At 45.3% G+C, this 20,574-nt stretch overlaps 1 protein-coding gene across 13 annotated transcripts in view, besides 2 other annotated features; it reads right to left on the reverse strand.

Annotated features, from left to right (window-relative positions):
- The window catches only part of RALGAPA2 (Ral GTPase activating protein catalytic subunit alpha 2), a 323,115-nt gene that overhangs the window by 6,659 nt on the left and 295,882 nt on the right, over positions 1-20,574 (reverse strand). For 7 of the 13 annotated variants that reach the window (XM_011529310.3, XM_005260768.3, XM_006723598.2 and 4 more), the window contains one exon: positions 15,839-15,960. In XM_011529310.3, coding sequence (XP_011527612.1) covers positions 15,839-15,960 — 122 coding nt within the window. Of the gene's footprint in view, positions 1-506; positions 547-15,838; positions 15,961-20,574 lie in introns of all 13 variants that reach the window. The other 6 variants (XR_007067471.1, XR_937111.3, XR_007067470.1 and 3 more) reach the window with 1 other exon arrangement.
- Positions 57-351: a silencer, noted in NCBI's record as "tiled region #956; HepG2 Repressive non-DNase unmatched - State 15:Elon, and K562 Repressive non-DNase unmatched - State 22:ReprW". NCBI's record gives its function as "represses a minimal TATA promoter and a strong SV40 promoter by Sharpr-MPRA in HepG2 and K562 cells {active_cell/tissue: HepG2 | K562}" and the evidence as "EXISTENCE:reporter gene assay evidence [ECO:0000049][PMID:27701403]".
- Positions 14,389-15,023: an enhancer, noted in NCBI's record as "NANOG hESC enhancer chr20:20391221-20391855 (GRCh37/hg19 assembly coordinates)". NCBI's record gives its function as "activates a minimal SCP1, AML or CMV promoter by ChIP-STARR-seq in primed H9 embryonic stem cells {active_cell/tissue: H9 hESC(primed)}" and the evidence as "EXISTENCE:reporter gene assay evidence [ECO:0000049][PMID:30033119]".

The following is a 20,574-nucleotide window of genomic DNA, read 5'->3' on the forward strand; positions in this document are numbered from 1 at the left end:
CCGCAGCTTTTGTCCGCTTTTCCTTCCCCAGCTGTTCCATTCAGCAGCCCCCGCCACAACCTGCCCTCCCCGCATGGAGGTCTCAGAGGCCTCCATTAAGGCTGGCGGTCAAAGGCCGGCCCAGCACGTGCCGTGTCTTATCGGCCCATCTCAAGACCCTGCTCCTTCAGGCCTGGGCAACAAAAAAGGGGGCGGCCCCAGCGCCCGCTGGCTCCCTGCAGCCCCACACACAAAAGGGCAGGCGACAAAGACATTTTCCGGGATGGCAGGTGTTGGTGTCGGATTCCTCCCCGAGTGCACGGGCAGAAGAAAGGCAAGGCTGGGCTTCCCCGGGCAGCGCAGACATGCAGGGGCAGGAGTGTGGGCAGGGCCCCCGGGGAGGGGAAGGCCCAGGAGGGCGAGGAGCACTGATGCAGGGTCCGCTACCGAGGGCAGCCGATTAGAAAAGTCCCACCCCCTCCCCAAAGCAGGGTGGCTGGACAAATCCACTGAAGTGTCTGTCTTACCTTGCTCAAATATTGAAATGAGACCTTTACGTGTTTTAATCTGAAGGGAAAGAACACAAAATGGAATGAATACAAACACAACACCCCCACAGCTCCAACTTGATAACTAACACAGTGCTAATAATACATTTATCCCTGAGCTGCCCAAGCATTTCTGCAGCCTTGTCAATCAGTAAAAACTGAACATTCACTTGAAAATTCTACTTGATAGGACAAAATACAAGCCGATGTCGTGTTTACAAATGTGAAATGAGAGAGACATTAGAACTCCCAGGATCTACGCATGCAGACCTTGTCAGGATCTATGCATGCAGACCTTGTCAGGAGCCCTACAGATGCTGAACAGCACTGACAGCTATATCCTTTCCCTGCTCTCCAACTTTTCCTGACTGATTTTGTTTAAAATACAAAGATAAAAGTGTTTTCAAGACAAGCATTTGAAATTCAATGGATGACCTGAAAAAATAATTGAAACCCCCTAGGTGGGCAAGTTTACATGTCTCCAAGTTTCATTTTACAGGTTTCTGAGTTATACACAGTGTGTTAATACTGGTGTCACCTGCAATATGACAGTCCCCAGGGAGGGAACACACAGCATCCTGTGCAGAGGAAAGCTTGGGAGGGTTCCCTGGAGTGGTGAAATTGGACCATAAGGTCACTCTCACCCACAGAGCAGCAGGGTCTCAGTAGTCACACAGAACTGAGGGGGATTTTAGCTTTTCTATGCCTTGTGACAGGTTCTTCCACCCCTTCCACGCCATCCTATTTCCTACGGCGGGGTTTCCTTGGCAAATGCATCCTCTTTCTGCGTCAGGCAGTAGCTTCTCCTGAACTCTCAGCCCCCACAACTCTCCTGAATTCTGTGTCAGTAGACGACCATCAGATCTGGACAAAGGACATTTATCAGTGACGTGGACCATTGTCTGCACAGTCACAGTTGTAAACGTGGATTTTCTGCTGACCCCCTCTGCCAAGGTTGCCAAGGTTGGCACAGTGACAGGGGCAAACTTCTAAGATGGTGGCTCCAGCAGCCATCAGGAGGTGACCACTAACATTCTTTTAGCCAAGGCTCCATGAAAGAAACGTGCACTGCTATGGAGACATCTTTTCCAATCTATTGATGAAAATTGTCCCTTTCTCCCAAGAAAATTATTTGGGGTTAGGAGATTCTGGATCAGTAACTGATCGTGGGTCGTGTATGATCCTTGGTTTGATTTCCAACCACCGTTAACACCGTTCCTTCTCCACACCTGGTTGTGCTCTTTGGGCACAAGAGGTTCTGGGCTGCTGCTGACTGTTGGTCATGGGCTAGAATGTTTTCCATGGATCCTCGGGATGATTAATCATTTAGATTTCTGATTTCCCCCCAATGTGCTGTGCTGAAGGGCCCCCATTTCCTCTCATGGAAGAGGGCAAACATAGAGCATATCTGCGTGGGTCTTCCTTGAGTTGAGGAAGTTCGGCTTTTAGAGCACCATGCCACTGACACCCTCCAGTGTGAGCAAAGGGTCTCTTTATGAAGGCGCTCCTTGATCTCACTCCTCTGCAGCCCCTCAGCCCTGGTTATGCTGTGCGTACAGGCACCCGATTGGTAGAAACCAAGAAAGCAGATGGCGCAGCTAACAATGGAGGACTTGTTTGTAATTGCTGATGAGGACTGGGTTGCCCCTCTCCTGTGCATCCCCAGACGCAGCCTGGTGTGGTGTGCTGGACCACAAAGAATGTCTCAGTAACTGCCAATCCATGGTTGAGTTAAGGAGATGCAAAGACAGAGACAGTTGGGGGCTGCCTTGATTATTCCATGGGGCTCAAATGTCACTTGCCCTTGACACACGGCGGTGCTCCCAAAGGGTGGGGTTCCAGTCGTGGAGCAGAGGAGTAAGCTGTCAGCTTCCTGATACATCTCTGGGGTACGCACAGGGCACTGACCAACCTGGGCAGTGTGGAGGGCACCTGGAGGGCAATGTGCTCGGAGATGGGGGGTGGGAAGAGGCCAGGAGGGACCTGACGTCTGGGGGCGATAGGGGAGAGACACAAAGCCTAACTGTCCTATCCCTTTGTCAAATGAGCAGCAGATATGTGCCAGGTACTGTTTTAGGCTCTGGGTTACAGTGGTGACCAAAGCAGATGAAACCGCTGCCTCCAGGGGATCTGGGAGAAAAGTTACAGCATGCAGTCTAATGAGGGGATATCACCCCTTGGGGTGGCAAAATAGCCTACTCTTTATATGCATACAGCACAGGTCTAAGTACTGTAAGTAAACAGATACACAGTGTTTCTGTGGTGTTTCAGGGGAGGGGACAAATTAGGAAACCAAAATGTCTCAGAAGGCTCCACGGTGGGGTGATAATGGATAAAAGGTTGTGACAGCCGGGCACGGTGGCTCACGCCTGTAATCCCAGCACTTTGGGAGGCCAAGGCGGGTGGATCACCTAAGGTCAGGAGTTTGAGACCAGCCTGGCTAACATGATGAAATCCTGTCTCTACTAAAAATACCAAAAAATCAGCTGGGTGTGGTGGTGGGCACCTGTAATCCCAGCTACTTGGGAGGCTGAGGCAGGAGAATCGCTTGAACTGGGGAGGTGGTTTCAGTGAGCTGGGATCATGCCATTGCACTACATCCTGGGCAATAGAGCGAAACTCCGTCTCAAAAAAAAAAAAAAAAAAAGTTGTGACACTAGGTTATAGGGTTACAGTGTCTTAAATTTGAAGTCATTTTTACCTATTTGTGGTGCTGGGAATCGAAGCCAGCCCTACTCATATCTAAGAGTAGTTGAGTGAGACTCCTCGGGGACAGCCCTTAGCAGTTTAACTCAGACACCAAAAGGCCAAACTGTGGCCAACTGGCGGCTCAGACACAGAGTTGAGCCGGGGGAATCCAGAAGTCACTTTTGAAGAAAGATGTCTTGCTTCTTCCACCTTGTGTGACTTCTCCGATACTCTGGATATCAACAGGGATTTAAAGCAGCACAGGAAACAAGAGGCTGGCTGGAGATGTGTTGTGTTATGTGCGGCTCCGCCTAGCAGAGGCGTTCCAGGAATTGGTGGGCCTTTCTATGGCATGCTTTCTCCAGCTGTACTCACTGGGATAGCAAGAGAGCAAGGCTTTGAACCAAGCTTCTTGCCTCTGAAGAAAGGCTGCCATCCAGAACCGCCACCTGGGATGAGGCTGGGCAGGGTCAGGACAAGAAACGCTGCTGCCTGTCCTTGGATCCTGGTTACTGAACAGTCAGTGTGGAAAATGATTAACTGGTTCAAGATAATTAGGAAAGAGAATGATTTTGAGAGCTGGCATGGATGAGGGAGAGAAACAGTGGACTAGGGCTCCAGCTTTAGGCAAGTGCTAAATATCCTACCAGCAGGAAGGCGGACAGAGTGGGAGATCAGAGAGCTGTCTGGGCTATTCAGACCCCTTGGAATGGCTCTGAGGAAGGGAACAGGTGCAGGCAGTGGATGGGGTAAGCCCACACACTCAACACTGGCAACCCAAGGCCAGTGGGAATTAGCCAGCCTAATTAACATCTCCAAATGGCCCAAGGATGGCTTCCAGTATTTCCAATCCAGCAGCAGTGGCTGTGTCCTGGCCCTGGCTCTGACTCTGGGTTTGGCTTCCTCTTTCTGGTTGTTGGTCTTGCCCATCACCCTTGGTTCAGAAGCCGAAAGCTGGGACAGCTGGACAGGAAGGGAGGGAGGAAGGGAAAGTGCATGGAGCGTGTGCCTGTATACGTGCTGCTCCCGTGCAGGGGCTAAGTGAGCAGGTGGATCATTGGTAAAAAAAATTTTCCTGGCATTTTTTTCTTTCTCTCCCATGACTATAATGTACTTGTGTGTGGCTCTATGACTAAATTAAACTAAATTATAAATTTAAAATTAATATCTTGGTGTCAACTTTCTTGTTAGGCCATCATAAAGAAATGTTTCCAGACTCTCTCACTCTCATGGAACATAAACACCAAGATTTCCGCTGCATCTTAGCCATGGGAAGTCTGTGTACTTTACCAGACTGAATTCACATGAGTGAGTGGCCACAGAGGACCCGAACATTCACAGCAGCAATATTCACAGTGACCAAAAGTGGAAACAGCCCGAATGTCCATCAACTGGTGAATGGACCAATAAAATGTGGTCTATCCGTACAGCAGAATATTTGGCAATAAAAAGAAATGGAATACCGATATGGGCTACACATGGAGGCACCTTGAGAATATGCTAAAAGAAAGAAGTCAGCCACCAAAGACCACATATGGGATGATTTTATTTATATGAAATGTCCAGAATGGGCAGGTCCATAGACACAAAAAGTGGATTTGTGGTTATTTAGAGTTGAGGAGTGGGCGGGGAGAAGTGGGATTGCCTATCAGCAGGCTGTTTAAAAGGGGGGATGAAATGTTATAGAATTTGATTGTGGTAATGGTTGCATAACCTAATGAATAGACCAAAAACATCGACTTGTATACTTCATGTGGTTGAACTGCACAGTATGTGAATTAGATCTCAATAAGCTGGTTTTTAAAATGGCAAAATGGAATAGAAGGTGGTCTGGGTGGCACTACTATTCCCATGATTCCAAAAGTGACACAACAGAAGTGGCTCCAAGATTTTAGAAGAAAAATCCCCTGGGGCACCCAGGCAAGCAGGGGAATGAGGGCAGCTGTGAGGTTCTGTAGATGCCACCAGCACCTCTCCTGCTGTGCCACCCCCCAAACCTCACACCACCCTCAAAGCAAATAGGGCCAACCCACTGCTGGCACACTGCTTTTCAGTGACTTGTTTTCCCTTCCAGGGTGTCTCCCAAGCTTATTCTAACTTGAATTGATCTGTCTTAAAACAACTCAGGAGTGACCGGGGCAGTGAGGTGGGATTACTGTGTGATTTGTCCCAAGATACACTGGGAGTGTGTGTGCCACTCAGGACTATTTTTTAAAAGTTTCCCTAATAATCAACAGCTCAAGAAAATGTAGCAGTTAGATCCATGATGACTGTGGGAGGACAGTGAGTTCTAGGTATTTGTGTGAGGTGTCTGAGGAAACATTGCAGAAGCAATGGAAATGTCTGGTAGTTTTACCGATAAAAACTGTCTTGTCCCCAGAAAGGAATTTTGGCCCATAATTAAGATACTTCCTATATGTGAATTATTTCTGTGGTGCTCCTTTTGAATTGCAAAGTAGGCAACCCTTTAGCTAAATTTCTCAGTTATCCGTGCCAAAGTGGCATGGTCTTTGCCACTGTATAAATTGTACAGGCCATACATTCTAGAAAACAGTCCTTTCTGCCTTCAGGGAGGGACATTTTGCCATTGCCACTGAAGAAGGGCTCCTCTCCCCCACTGGGTTGTTCATTCCTGTGGGTGGGTCCCCCACAGCAGGCACGGAGAGGCAGCGGGGCTGTAGGGTGGAGCAATGAGTCCTGTCTGAGAATGGAGAGGCCTAAGTGCTCGAGCTCTGGTCTGGACATGACCAGCCACCTGGTGATGGAAAAACCAGCCTGCCTCCATTCCTCAACTGTCAGAGAAATCTTGCCCCATGGGAGGGGGGACTCTGGGGAAAGTGTGCAGTAAACTGCAAATCTCTACATGTACATAAAGAATGGTGACAGTTCACAGAGAGTCCTGGAGACCATTTTTGTAAGAGTAAAAAAAGCTAGGGAGCCTTGCCTCCCATCCTTGCCCTTCTGTGTCACTGAGTTGTTTAAAGTCTCTTGAATCACTTTCTGTGTAGTGGGGATGGCCATCTGCGCGATTCTTCACGCACACGCGTGCTCATGACCACTGGAACTTACAGGGATCTGCAGGGTCTTGAGGGCAGGGCGGGACACGTGGCTGAGCTCCACGTTCTGCCTGTCTGGGCAATCCAGGACAGGGGCTATGTTCTGTGGTGCTGGAGTGAGGGGGCACCGCTGAGGGCCCCTCTAGTGCCCCCCAGGGAATGTTCAGGCAGAACACCTATTGTATAAGCATAACATCTGTTCATTCACCAGACACATATGACATACCTGTTGCGTGCCCAGAGATGGGAATACATGGCGAGTAAACTGTCATGGAAGTTGTCCCCCATCCCCACAGTGCACCCTCCCCACTGAAGCCTGACTGACCTTCGTGGAAGAGTCATATCACAGCACTCTGCTGCTTCACATCTTTGTGTGCTGCCCATCTCACCAGAGCAAGAGCCAAGGTCTTGCCCTCTGCCCGTAAGGCCACTCTGACCTTCCTGTTCTTCCTGCCCACCCTGGCTCACTCAGCTCTAAGGAGGCTGGGCTCCTTGTTCCTTGATTGTGCCAGGAAAGTCCCTGCCTCAGGCCCTTCCACCTGCTCTTTCCTGCCCCTCCTTCCTTGTCATTTCTCACACGCCGCCTTTTCAGGGAGGCCTTCTCTGACCCCCTATTTTAAAGTGCGCCCCCACCCCAGGTGTGTTGGATTTTCTCAGTGGCACTCCCAAGGCTCTTTCCCTGTTGTCTTTTCTCCTCAGTACTCTTCAGCTCCTGAGAGCAGACACTGCCGTCTCCTTTCCCGTCTGGAAGGTGAGCCTCCAGTGAAGGAAGGGCTGCTGTCTGTCTTGCCCATCTCTGCAACTGGCATATTCAGTGTTTGGTAAACATTTATGGGATGAATGTCTGAAAACCCACTTTCGTGGGCTTTATGAGATGCTCTGAGGAGTGAAGCTGCAGTTCGCATCTACTTAAATTGTAGCAAAGGTGCATCCCTCTGTGTCCCCGGGTCTTAAGTGGACCTGAGTTTTAATATCTCAATTTGGCCTCTGGCAAGTTGCTAGCTTTGGGTAAGTGGGAGAAAGAGCAGAGTCAGCCTAGCGGGCTACAGATTTCCACTTCTGGCCTCCTCCTTCCTTCTCCGTGGTGATCTATTTCCTCTGGGACTCTCACATGTGATGCTGTTGGGTCAGCGACTGTCACCCTGGTCCGGAGCGCCCAGCCTCACGAAGCTGCATGCCCAGATGTTACCTGGAGGCTGTGGTGCTAACTGGAGTTGCGCTGTTTCTCCAGCTGCTTCTCTGCACCCTAGGGATGTAGCTAGGGAGCAGGGCTTCCCTAATGACTGCACGTGGGCTCTGGGATGCACGCTGACTGCAGAGTCTACCCATACACATTCAGCAGCACTGGCAAGGCAAGGTGTGCACACTTCCTGTTTTGCCTGAGATTAGGGGTATGGGGGAGTGGAACCTTCCCAAGCCATACCCATGATTCCTTTTCCATATCCTCAGGCAATCTCACAGATCACACAATCCCACACAGGAGAAGACAGATGCTGGGATGGTGGAGGCCACTGGTTCCCACCACAGGTCACAGCTGAGTGCTGCGGGAAAGGCAAGAGGAGCCTCTGCGTGGGGGCACAGGTAGGTGGAACGTGTCCTCTATGCATCTGGATTTTATTGTCTCATATTCTTGAAGTGGCCACAAAATAGAATAGGGTTTTCCCTATTCTTTCTCGGCATTGTCTACTGTGATGCTACTAGGTTTCTTGTGTACTGAGAAGTGAATTTGGCCACATCAATGCTGTAAATATGTAAAGTTACTTATTTCAAATGGATGGGCATGTTTCCCATTTTTAAGGGATTTTATTCCTTCTGCTGTTTGAGGGACTTTAAAGGCTAATGGGCAAAAAGGAACCGGCAGGTTTAGTTCCTGTTATCATCCTATATCTTCCTGGAAAAGGGTAGTACAAAATATTCTTTCTTCTTTCTGTCAGAAGACTTAACTGCGAATAAGAGAGGTTCCATTTGGCCTCTGCTTTGGTTTGGCTGTTCCTAAACAGGAATTTGAGCAAAACCACTGAGTCTTCTAGGAGGCCCCTCAGCAGCTGAGGTTGTGCATGCACCACCTGCTGAGCCAGGAGGACTTGAGGGCCAGTCACGATTCACAAGGAATGTGAACCCGGGGTGTCGGGAGCTTCAGGTTCTTCTGAAATACATTCTCAAGGTTATTTCAAATAAGCTTTAATTAAGAGTTATTTCCAAAAATTGTCTCTGAGAAAAATTCCTGGTACCTGCCAGCCATCTCTTGGCAACTGCTAAAGCGTCCCCTGAGCTGTAATTAGCAGTCAGGCAGGAGGAAGATGCCACCTGCACTTAAAACTCTGTAAGGACTGGGAACCCAGAACCTAACGCAGCATTTCACAGAAAAACCGCACCTTCAGAGTTCTGCCAAGGGAACAGATTCAGTGCAAGGTCACACTTCAAAATGAATGATCTCAGGCCGCTTCTTATTCTGGGAACCTATGAATACTCCCAGCACCAGCCCCAGGGTTGTCAGGAGTGTCACTGTCCCCGCAGTGGCTCTGAAACATGTGGTTTCTTTCTCTCTGCTCTTCTCACATTTACTATCCTCTATCTTTTTATTTTTGTCCATGGGCCTTCCAGTTCTCAGACATTAGGCAATGTGGGGAAGTTCCAAACCAACTGGCAGGATGCTTAGTAGAATATCTAATACAAACGAGGCAAGTTTTCATTCTCCTCAAGTTGACAAGGCAAATGGCATGGTCCATCTCAGGGAAATCTCAACCCAACTGGCCTAAACCACTGGCTGGCTATCTTTTTGACATGTGGTTATAGTTTGGAGGAAACTTATCTGAGCTTATTAATAAATAGCCATTTTTTTTGTGTGTGGCTCACGAGTGTCTGCTTTTCTCCAATAAGACTTCAAGCTTCACAAGGGAAGGAGAGACACAGGCCTGCATGAGATTCCCAGAGCCTTAGTTTGTGTTGCCTGAAGTGCCCTGCACAGTCCTGCTCAGTGGCAGCCTCCAGGGGCAACAAGGACCACGTCAGAGATGGTAACATCTGACAGGTAGCAGTGGCACTTTCCTAGCCAAGCAAATGAAAAGAATGCTTGTCTCATCTCTTCCAGAGCTGACACTGAGGAGAGTAAAAAAGTTTTAAAAGAACAAAGGGATGAAGAAGCACGAAGCCTAAAGTGGTGCTAAACAAGGTGATCGATAATTCCCTTTAAAACCCTCGAGACCATCTACGAAAGCACCTCGAATCAAGTTTCAGTTACTCGGTCTGTGGATTCGCTGGCTCCTGACTTCCCCTGCCTTTCTCCACACCGGCTTCTTATCAGATTTCTTGTCGGTGGCCCACTTTCACTAAGAGACTGGGAAGGAGGGGACAGATGAAACATAATTACGAGTGTTTGCTCTGCATCTTGCATCAGGCCCACACATCTGTGGTCTAGAGACACACCTGTGCTGCTTAAAGCAACAGCCTGATTCCTTTCTGTCCTCCTTTCTATTCACTCCTGTTGCATGTAGGAAAGAAATCCCATGTACCAGTCTCTAAAGAATTTACAGTCCATTATGGAGAGGAGACACACACGCAGGATAAAGGCTTACATATGCTAAGGAAAATCAAGATATATGTAACCACAAGTCGGATGGCACTAAAATTAAGGCCTAAATATTTCAGAGAGGATTTAGGGCAGTGGTTCTCAGTCCTGCCTGCACGTTAAAATACCCTCAGTTTTTTCTTTTTTTTCTTTTTTAAAATTCCATGCTCAGGTCACACCCCAGACCAATAAATCCGAATCTAGTGGAGGGACTCAAGCATCGGTATCTTTACAGCTTCACAGGGGATTCCAATGTGAAGCCAGAATTGAATCCCACTGGGTCTTGGTGATGGAATGATAGCTGGTAAAAAAAACTTTCTATCAATGTTGTACCATCTTTCCAAGAAGAATACATCTTAAATTGGAAAAAAATCAAAGCAAAAGTGGTCAGAATCAAGCCGGTTATGAGGGAAGGAAGACTTGGGCTGTGTCCAGAAGGGATTATGGGGGTAGAAGAAACATCTGTCCAAGGCAGTTGTCTGTAGGACATGTGGCAACACTTTGGCCAGCTACAGCCAAGTGTGCTGAGGGTGCTGAGTGGGATGGCTGAGTTATTGAATAGATGGTCATATAAGATAGTTTGTATTTAAGGAAAACTTTTGGGTCAGGTGCAGTGGCACACACCTGTAATCCTAGTACTTTGGGAGGCTGAGGTGGGCAGATCGCTTGAACCCAGGAGTTCAAGACCAGCCTGGGTAACATGGTGAACCCCTGTCTCTATAAGAAATACAGAAATTAGCTGCATGTGGTGGCTTATGCCTGTAGTTCCAGCTACTCAGGAGGCTGAGGCTAGAGGATTGCTCGAGCCTGGGACGGGAAGGATGCAGTGGGCTGTGCTCACACCAATGCAATCCAGGCCTGGGCGACAGAGTGAGACCAAAAGGGAAAACTTCTGTATTATCTGAATAGAGTAAAATTTGACTCTGGCCTTTAGTATGAATAAAGAGCTGGTAGCTACGGCTCTGATTATGGGATTATCACTATAGGGTGGGCACAGGGCTGGCATTTCCATGTGAAATGGGGAGGTGAAGATTGAGTTGGCACTGATTCCAACTTGCCCATGACCTTCGGTGGTCCCTTCCTGGGTTGGTCTTCAGCTTGCTCCAAATTAATGTGACAGGGTTAGACATGATCTTTCCTGAAGTCCCTTCTAGTTCAACATTCTATGATGTTCTTTGCTGGCTTCAGCAAAGTTATGGGGAAGCTGAACACATACAATTCAAAAGAAGCACTATTAATTAAAACCGTATTAAGACCACTTTAACAGGGAGGGAATGAATATGAATGTGATGAGTCTGTCACATGACTATCCTTTCAATGAGCGGGGAAACTCTTTTTGGTGGTTTGGGTTAGGATTTACTTGTGCTGTTTCTGGGAATTAACTTGATTATTAACTGCCCAGTGAAACGGCCAAGGAAGACTGCCTGTCAGGACTGCATGCGGAATGACGAGCTGCATATGGCGCGGAGGCCTTAGCAAGCAAAAGCTGGGTGTAGCCATATCCCTCTGGGCAAAGGCTGGTGAGTTCTAAGAGGAGTTTGTGTAGTGTCTACATCTCAGATTTGCTTTGGGGCGAATGTGTAACATAAGTGCCTCCATCTGCAGTTTTAGGAGAAGATTTTATTGGCCACCAAAATGACTCAGTGACACCAGGCAGAGTCTTCTGGCAAAGGTTCTGCAAACTTAACATAACGACTGTGTTGTAGAAGAAAAGCTACAGAAGTCTTTTTCATTAGGTAAGTGGCAATAATAACCCTTTCCACGAGGGCATCCAAGCAATTGTGTGAAAGATGAAAGTTTGCAGTTTTGTGCAGTAGCAGGAATGGCAGTGGCATCCTAAGACCGACTCAGACTAATCTGGTTTAAGCTCCAAATACGACCTACATTAAAAGTGGCAGACTCTGATGAAGCATAGTGAGGAATTTTCTCCCACTTGTTCTAAATCCTGGAGCCTTGACAATCCAGCCTATCATAAAGGAGGAAGTATTTCTGACCATATCTTGGAGAAATCAAATGCTGTGTTTATGCAGGGCTAACAAATAAACAAAGACCTGTGCTCCCTCTGCTGGCTCTCTATAGCAATATTGAAGCAGAAAGGAACCATACGTAGTATTGGCATCTTCAGCAAACACAAGTCAGTTTGGGTATTCCGAGAAGAACCACTCATTTAACTTGGTTTTGAACATTCTTTGAGAAAAATCTATCAACTTCTGACAAAGGCACTTGGAAATTCTTAAAATTAGATATTAAATGAGACATACCTGTAGCCCTTGGCTACCAGATTGCTAGCTGTGACCGTAATAGTGATCTGGGGATTGATTGATCAACAGACACAAGTGGATTCCTCCAAAATTTTTAGATCCAGACACAATCTTTAAGGCAGTTCTGAAAAAAATCTCAGGTCCAATGTAAAGTTCCTTTTTTTCTCTTTTATAAGAGCAACTTCTAAAAAGCAAAGATTTACACTATTTATATCTTTTCTGATAATGTCAAACACTAGACTTGATTTTCCAAATCATTAGCATGCAGAAGAATGACCTCATGGTGAACAGATGCACTTGGCTGTGAGCTGCAGTGATTACATCAGTCCCTCCCAGCAGTCGAGGGTGCCCATTCCAGTTAACCCTTTCAAGGCCTCTCTGCCGGTCCCTCTTTCTTGGTGATATGATTGAAAGCACAAATTTAGTCCCCCACCCCAATATGTGTGTGTGTGTGAGAGAGAAATGTATATGTGTATATAAATGTATTTATACATAAAACATATATATGTTAATTGCAACCAATATTTTAATACTGGCTACATTTTAGATTATTTAATGCTGGTCAAAAAAGGAAGGTAAACTATAGTGCTAGGTAAAAAAGTAGTTGAAATATCTTTACATGTCAGGTGTTATCAATACAAGTAATGGATGGAATAGATACAAGGTAGATACGATGGTCTTTAAAAATATTTTCTCATTAGGAAAATAGATTTTGTTTTGAAAGCTCTTTGAAAAATGCCGAGCGCTCATATATTAGCAGCTACACCACCATGTGTGGTTGACGGCGCATCCTGAACGCAAGCCTGTTCACCTGGCCAACCCACCCCCGCAGGGCTTGTTGGGCGGATGGGTAACAGCACCTGGATGGGGAGAGTCAGAAGCAGAGGGCATTTTCCAACAGTGGAAGCTTCAGGCACAGGCCATTCCCACCGAGTGCATCTCCCACTTTTACTTCAGACTTAAAGGCTGATTTTGGGGCTTTCCCTCTAGAAGTGGGGGCTGCATGCTGCTTTCTGGCTTGCTGCTACCAATACAGTGCAGAATGAATGCAGTGTTCAGGTGATGCTCCCTCTTCATTAATAATAAAGTCCTGGTGGTGAGGATACAAAGAAAACCTAGGAGCCCCTAATTCCTCAGATTGTGCATACGCATGTGAGCCCAAGCCCAAGGCCCTGCTTTGATGACACTGAGGGCCAGAGATGGTCTGATTGGGTCCTAAGTGCACTGTGGGAGCTTAAGCCGCTCAGGGTCAATTTTTCCAGTTGGCTTGTTGCTTGGAAGAACAGACTTCACCTCAATTTCTTAGTTTAAGCTGGCTGGCTCATCTGGGTTTGATCGCCCTTGTCCCAAGAACATAACAGTGTAAACAAATGACAAATGTTTTCATCTGTAGAAGTAGTAACAGATAGTGGACAGGGATTCCTCAAAAGCGAAGCCAGTATGTAAGCTAGAAGATGCTTCCGAAAACGTGCTTGTCTATGGTGCTGAAATGCTCTGTCCTCATTGTACTGCCCCACATTTCAGTTCAAATCAAGATTATATCTAGTTCATTCCTACTCAGCGTTATGAGAAGATATGCAAAGAATTAAAACAGAACATTATGCCTAGACTTAAAAATCACACTTAAGGATAGGCATGATAGACGTATAAAAATGTTTCCCACTCAACACTGAATTCCTTAAACCATGAACACTATGAAATGTAATACTGATGTTAATAATTTGAAAAGCGGAGGGAGTAGCATTTGTCTTGATATTCCATGTTTGGTTTCACGTTCCTTTTAGAAGAGTTCCAATGCCCACCCTCACATGCTGTCAGAATCTTCATTCTGCTAAGCAATTTTCAAAAATATGACGTTCTTGAAGAAGCCTATTGACAATCCTCTCCAAGTAGAGTTCTTAAAAACTCAAATTGCTCCTAGAATCTCACTCATTTCTATTGGTTTAAATAATTATGGATGTTTGGAAAAGATCAAATTAGTTTATACAGAGGCTAAAATATACATAGAAAACAAAGTCCATCATTATTCATTTTGATAATATCTTAATAATCTTAAGAATGTAACAGTTAAGGAATGAAAACATCTAGTTATTATTTACGTGTTTAATTTTAAGAAGTAAAAAGCTTTCTCAAGAGTTAAACAAACAAACAAAAAACAAAAAACAACCTGCACTGAAAAATCAAGTCCTCACGAAGAGGGGAATAATCTCATGAGGGTGGGAAAAAGCTGAATGAGATCTTTTTAAAATTAGCTTTGCTACAGATCCCTCATGTTCTTTCACTGAAAAATTAGAAACGATTTAAAATCTCTAGCCAGACCGAGTATGAAATCTTCATTTCCCTTGAAACGAATTTGTTTTTGTCTTAGATAGAATGTTGGCAGAGTGTATAAAAGAATTCAATTCACAGCTGTTCCACTTTTTTAATGTAAGAAACATTAATCAAAGCTTTAAGTTATAAGCTTTTCTCATGTTGCTTAGTATTCCAGTTCAACAAAGATCAATAGAGGCCATCCCAGTGTTCCTTGACGCCTCACCAGGAAGCAGAGGCGTGATTATGCAAATCACGCTGCTCCTGCACCTCTGCCAGCCTGCTTATCTCCCAAGCCTTCTGCCTGCTGCTCCTGGCTCCCTGCGCAAGTGCGTGCCTCTCCCTCTTATCTCCCAACAAAGCTCTGAGAGGCAAGGATTGAGGCCAGCGATGTTAAACAATGATGCATGGCTGATTTTATTTGTAAGTGATTTATTTCACTGGATTTAATTTTTTTTCACTTTGTGTATAAGATATTTGTTAACAAGTCAGAATAGGAGAAGTAAGGCAGTGTTCAGAGACAATTGACACAGGTTAGAAATCTATTAAGCACTCTAACAGTTTCATTTAAAGCAGTGGAAGAAGAAGGAAGCTCCTCACTGAGAATCTCAACATGCATTGGCTAAATATCCCATTTATTCTCTGAAAGGCAATTAATCTGTAATTATATGCAGAAATTTACAAGTAATAATTCTATTATTTGAAAGAAACACACAGTAATCACATAATCTGTTTAAGTGGCAATACATGTATTTTTCCCCCCAAACTGGAAATATAAAAAGAATAAAAACCTAAAAACAAGGAAATCTATGGAAACTTTCACAATTTTCCACTGGCCCTAATAAATGAAAATTATTGTAAGCTAGTTTCTAAACGGGTTCCACACCAGGTGCTGCTCCGGTCGGCGGCTTGTCCACATGACACAAACCACTCCAGAGAGACACGCACACTGCACTGCTGTAATGATGGACCCCGGGACACTGTCCTTCCATGTCTCCTGCATTAATCCCTGACCTTCGAATCTCGGCAGCATAATCCCCATTTAGCATTAGTAGCAACGGCTTCCACTGTGAGGAACTCTTTTTTGATAAGTAAGCACTGATTCGGGCATCGCTTTTAAACAGCATATTCCCAGCTCAGCAAGAAACCCACACTCCTGAATGAACCGGAGCACATTACTGAGAAAAAGTTCATTAACCTTGCTAGATTTGAAGGTTAACAGGATAGCTGAAGAAAGGAACTGAGTGAACAGCTCGAATACAAAACAAATTAAAATGAATGTCATCATTCCTTTTGATATTCATTAGTTGATTCAGAGGGAGAATGCTCTTCTTAAATTTGCAAAGCATTTATCTGTGAAAAACAGGTGTACATCTGCTGCTCGAATGCGTCTTAAGCGCGTGAGAGAAGAATAATGTAGACACTCACCCGTTCCGCTGAGGGAGTAGCTGGGAGAGGGAGAAAAGACTTGGGCTGCGAAATCCTCGAATGTCATTACTTCGCGGTGGTTCTGAATTATTGCTTCGAGATACAGAGCTCGCTCTTCATAGCTGCGGTAATCGGTTAAGGAAACAAGTGCACGTGCAAAGTGGCATGCAGAGCAGTGACAGAATTCACTTTTAATACCGTTGTGCAATTTTTTCTGTGTAAAAAAGTATCCTGCAGGTTCTTTACCATCTTGCAGAAAATTAAGTATTAGTCATAATTCATACCCAAATTCTGGTTTTGAGACCTAAGTTTCTCTTAGACTTTAATTGCATTAAATACTAATAACACTAAAAAACATGTAAAGCAACAGTTACAGAATAACATCATAAGATCATTAGGGTCGATTTAAACAAAAACAGGAGATACTGATTGCAATAGCATCTCTTTCCACTGACAGTGGTAGATCTTTTACATCCTATTTCAGTGGATAAAACATTCTTAGCCTACTGACATATGAGTTGATACTTCAAGCAACTTGGTGATACGACAGTGCAGACGCTTCTTAAAAATAAGAAGATGCAAGTTACTGGGAAGAGAGAAGGCTAGGAAGATAGATTCTGAGGGGGCATCAGAGCCTCTAACCAAGACAAGCTGTGAACATTGGAAAATAAGAACTACTATGTGAGAGAATCTACCAAGAGTGCACAGTGCAATTTAAAAAAAAAAGACTACTGCCTTTTAATTAAAACTGCAGTCTGGAACACACAGCATTCAAATGTGTAATCAAAAACCAGTCACCAATAAAACTTACAAGCGTAACACACTGAAGCAACTTTCCAGCTGTCTTAATAGGACCCCTGCGTGTGGCAGGCTTTCACAGGGCAGAAAGCAAATCTTCCCCTTTTGTGTGTGGCTTCTGTTTCCTTAGAAGGTGAATCATGCACTTCCAATAACAGGATAACGTCAGAACAATCCCACAATGGATGGAGGCACTGCACATACGACGTTATGAATTAACACTTGGGGAAGTCCGCATGACGTCTCATTTTCCCCTTCCTCATTATCAATGCAAAAGTTAAAAGACATGTTTCAGTCGTTTTGAAAATCATGCTAATTCTCCGGGAACACAGGGAATGCGGATCACCATCAGTTTATTATTGGCAGCTCCAGAAGAGGAAAAGTAACTCTAGCATTTCTCACTACATTTTCAAACTATCTTTTCAAAATGGCCTCTTTAAAAATACAAGTTGGTGACAATTATGTCCTTTCAATCAGCCTTCAAGACAGCACGTGTTTTTAAATGGTCAAATACTTTTCTGCTTTCTTATGGCAAAGTGTGCACACCGATCTCTAAATGCAGGCTCTTCCTCTCCCTACTCCTTCAGTTATATTCAGAGGATAATTTTCATACCGTGAGGAGACCAGAGGCATTCTAGGGCTGTGCTATCCCATACAGTAGCCACAAGCCACACGTGGATATCTCATTTTAAATCTGAATTAATTAAAGTAAAGAGCTAAAATTCAGTTGCTTTGCCCCTCCCCCCACCTTGCTATATTTTAAGCACTCAATAGCCGCACGTGGCTAGGGGTTCTATACTGGATCGCACAGATACAGGATGTGCCTGTCACCGTGGAAAGCACTACTGGACAGCGTGCTGCCAGAATTTCTCCGTAAGTTTGTTCTATACAACCTCAAGCAAGGAAAATGTGTTTGAAGATTTCCAAAGTGGCCCCTCTAATGATTTATGATCTTTTATATAGATGGGCACAACCGCCCAAGGCCTGGGCAGCATGAGCCTGAACTGGCTTCTTGACTGTGGGCTGAACTCCTGGTGACTCGCCTTAATGAACAGGCTGCCAAACTTCCTCAGCGAGAGGCGCCTGCTCAGGCCCAATTCTAGAGGGACCCACTAATGCCATTCACGTCTCATTATGAACACACTTATTCTGCACAGCACTTGGCTGTCGCCACGGCTCGGCCCTCCGTGCATGGCCCCAGCAAGCCGCTGGTCCGGGGAACAGCAGGACGTTAGGCCTGAGTGGCCGTCTGGCGAACAGGCACTCTGACACTAAGCTGGCACGTGCTGGCCCAGCAGGGGCTGAGCGAGGCGTGACAAATTACTCAAAGAGCTGAGCTAAACTTATGGCTGACAACCACCTGAGCCTTTGGACCGCCGTGGCCCGCTGTCAACGCTCAATTCATGGCTCCCCCTTTCAGTCCATCGTCTGCTTGTGGGCCTGGGTTAGAGCAAGCACGTCCCTCTAAAGACCTGTCATGCTCTGCCTAGCATCGTCCTGCTGTTTCCTCAAAGGCCCCACTGCGTCCAACACATCCACATACAGTGCTTGGGACAATGGTGAACAAAAAGGAAATGCGTGCGCATTTTGCTAACTACTCTGCGGAAGCCACGTATCTGGAAAGTGGCTGGCTATGTTAATCAAGCTCATGATCAAACCTACAAAGGGACGTTTTGCATAATACCAGATGAACTGACCCCAGACGGCAGCCCACCGTCCCAATCCTGGATGGCACTATCATAAGCTTGTTCTTGTCATAAGCTTGTCCTTGTCAAGGCTGAGAGATCTGGGCACCTTAGAGGAAGTCCAGCACTATATTTAGAGGAGTAATAATGAAGTTGTGAGATTCTCTGATTCAATGAATATTTATGGTCTGACTCCTAAATTAAGGCAGTAGGAGACAGAAAACATAAAGGTGCTTCCAGAACTGGATCCTGGAGGAGCAAGTGTTTCCTTCATAGAAGGTTCCTGACCCTGCCATGCATGCCCCCGACTGTCACACACAGCCCACACTCTCCCGCCCACTAACTGGAGTGTTAACAGTGCTAAACTGGGTGCTGTCATTTAGACAAACATCCATTAGGGATTGGGGTGAGACCAGGAGATCATCAAATACATTTTCGCTCATGGCCCAAGCCAGGGCATGTAAACACCCTGACAAAGAGAAAACAAATATCCCCTTAGCTCTGGCAGCGTTTAGAAACAGCCAAGGAGCTTGTGGGTGCCAAAAATCATTTCTTTTAGTAGCCATAAAAAACACAGCGCTGGGATCTTAACTGAATTAATTGCAAGGGCAATTTGGAGCAGTATCATCTGACATTTTCTTATCTAATATCCTTAGGGCTTCAATGCTGGTTGCTTTCTATAACAAAGGGCATTTATAATCTAGACATCAAAATGCTTGTAAGCTTTTCACATGTAAGACATGTTAAAATGTTAAGTGAATGCTGAAATAATGCTGATCCCTGGACGGTCAAAGACCTTTCACTGAAAGAGGCACCAGGTCACCAATCCGATCCCTGTTTCAATACTAGCCATGGCCCTTTTGTTCCCTTAAAAAGTTTACTAACAAATGTGTAACTTTTAATTCTGTTCTGAATTATTATCTCATGAAAAGCCACACACAACAAAGTACTTTTTTAAAGAGCAGTTTTCCCCTGGATTACTCAATTCAGGGAACATTCAAATTACTGACCAGAAACCCATCTTGGCTTCTGGACATTTCTCAGTTTCTTTAGCCACTCATTCTGTTCACATTTTCACATATGAATTTTTATCAAGAATTTTGATTAAGAGACAGGCCTGTAGTCCCAGTGACTCAGGAGGCTGAGGTGGGAGGATCACTTGAGCCCAAGAGTTTGAGTCCAGCCTGGGCAACATAGCAAGATTCTGTCTCTAGAATAAAAAATAAAAAAATGGATAATATTCCTCTACTTTACTAAAGAGGTTATACGCCTTTACTGGTTACATTTTATCAAAAATTTCCAAGAGAACTTCTCGAGACTCTCAAGACACACCCTGCTGAATCTGCAGAGCTGTAAGAATCTGAGAATCTGAACCTGTCCCCCAACTTTACTCTCATTATTGTTTGTTTTAGGTTTTAGAAATGACAGTAGCAGCATGACAGTCAGGAAGGAGCTTGTATTTTGGTGGAAGGAAGGCAGGGTTTGAATCTCAGCTGCCCTTTTCCCTGCTAGGTGTTGATGTCCCCATTTTACATGTGAGACAGCTGAGGCAAGTGGTTCCGACTCCAGCCTCAGTTGTCCTACTAAATGTAAAATGGGGACAACAACGCCTGTTCTCAGGACGGCTGGGAAGATTAAATAGAATCCTATATATGAAGCATCTACCTGGGTTCCAGCACAAAAAGAAAAGCATGATAAATCTGGATTGACTCCTCCCTGCCTCTACCATGTGGGCCTAGGGTTTTGTTGCAGAAAGAATGTAGTAGGTAAGCTGGAGGAGAGTTCTGTGTCAGGCTCCATGGCAAGCAAACCCCCTTTAGGCTACACCCTCATGAGCAGGGAAGTCCTGTGGTCTCCATTTTACTGATCAGGTAATGAGAGCTCAGAGAGTTCAAGAAATTTTCTTGAATCACAGTCACACAGTAATGGAATTAAGGCTACAGCCCAGGTCCTCTAACCTTTACTGCTTTCATCTAATATCTTGAATTCTAGAATAAATGGTGTTAAGTTCAAGATCATGTGTGAGGATGGGAACTAAACTCCAAATGAGACAAATCAACTGACTTAAATATACGTGAGCTATAATAACCAACCCGCAACGTAAACCTGAGTGCGTATGTGTAAGCTGCATCTATACCCAGATCATGCTGACTTTATAAAATACAACAAAACAACAATTATTCCATTTTAATTTCTTTTTACTCATTCGGGCTATGTGTTTGTTGACTGTTGTTTAGCACTATCAAGCTTCTT

This window comes from Homo sapiens, chromosome 20, assembly GCF_000001405.40.
Source record: "Homo sapiens chromosome 20, GRCh38.p14 Primary Assembly".
Lineage (NCBI taxonomy): Eukaryota > Metazoa > Chordata > Mammalia > Primates > Hominidae > Homo > Homo sapiens.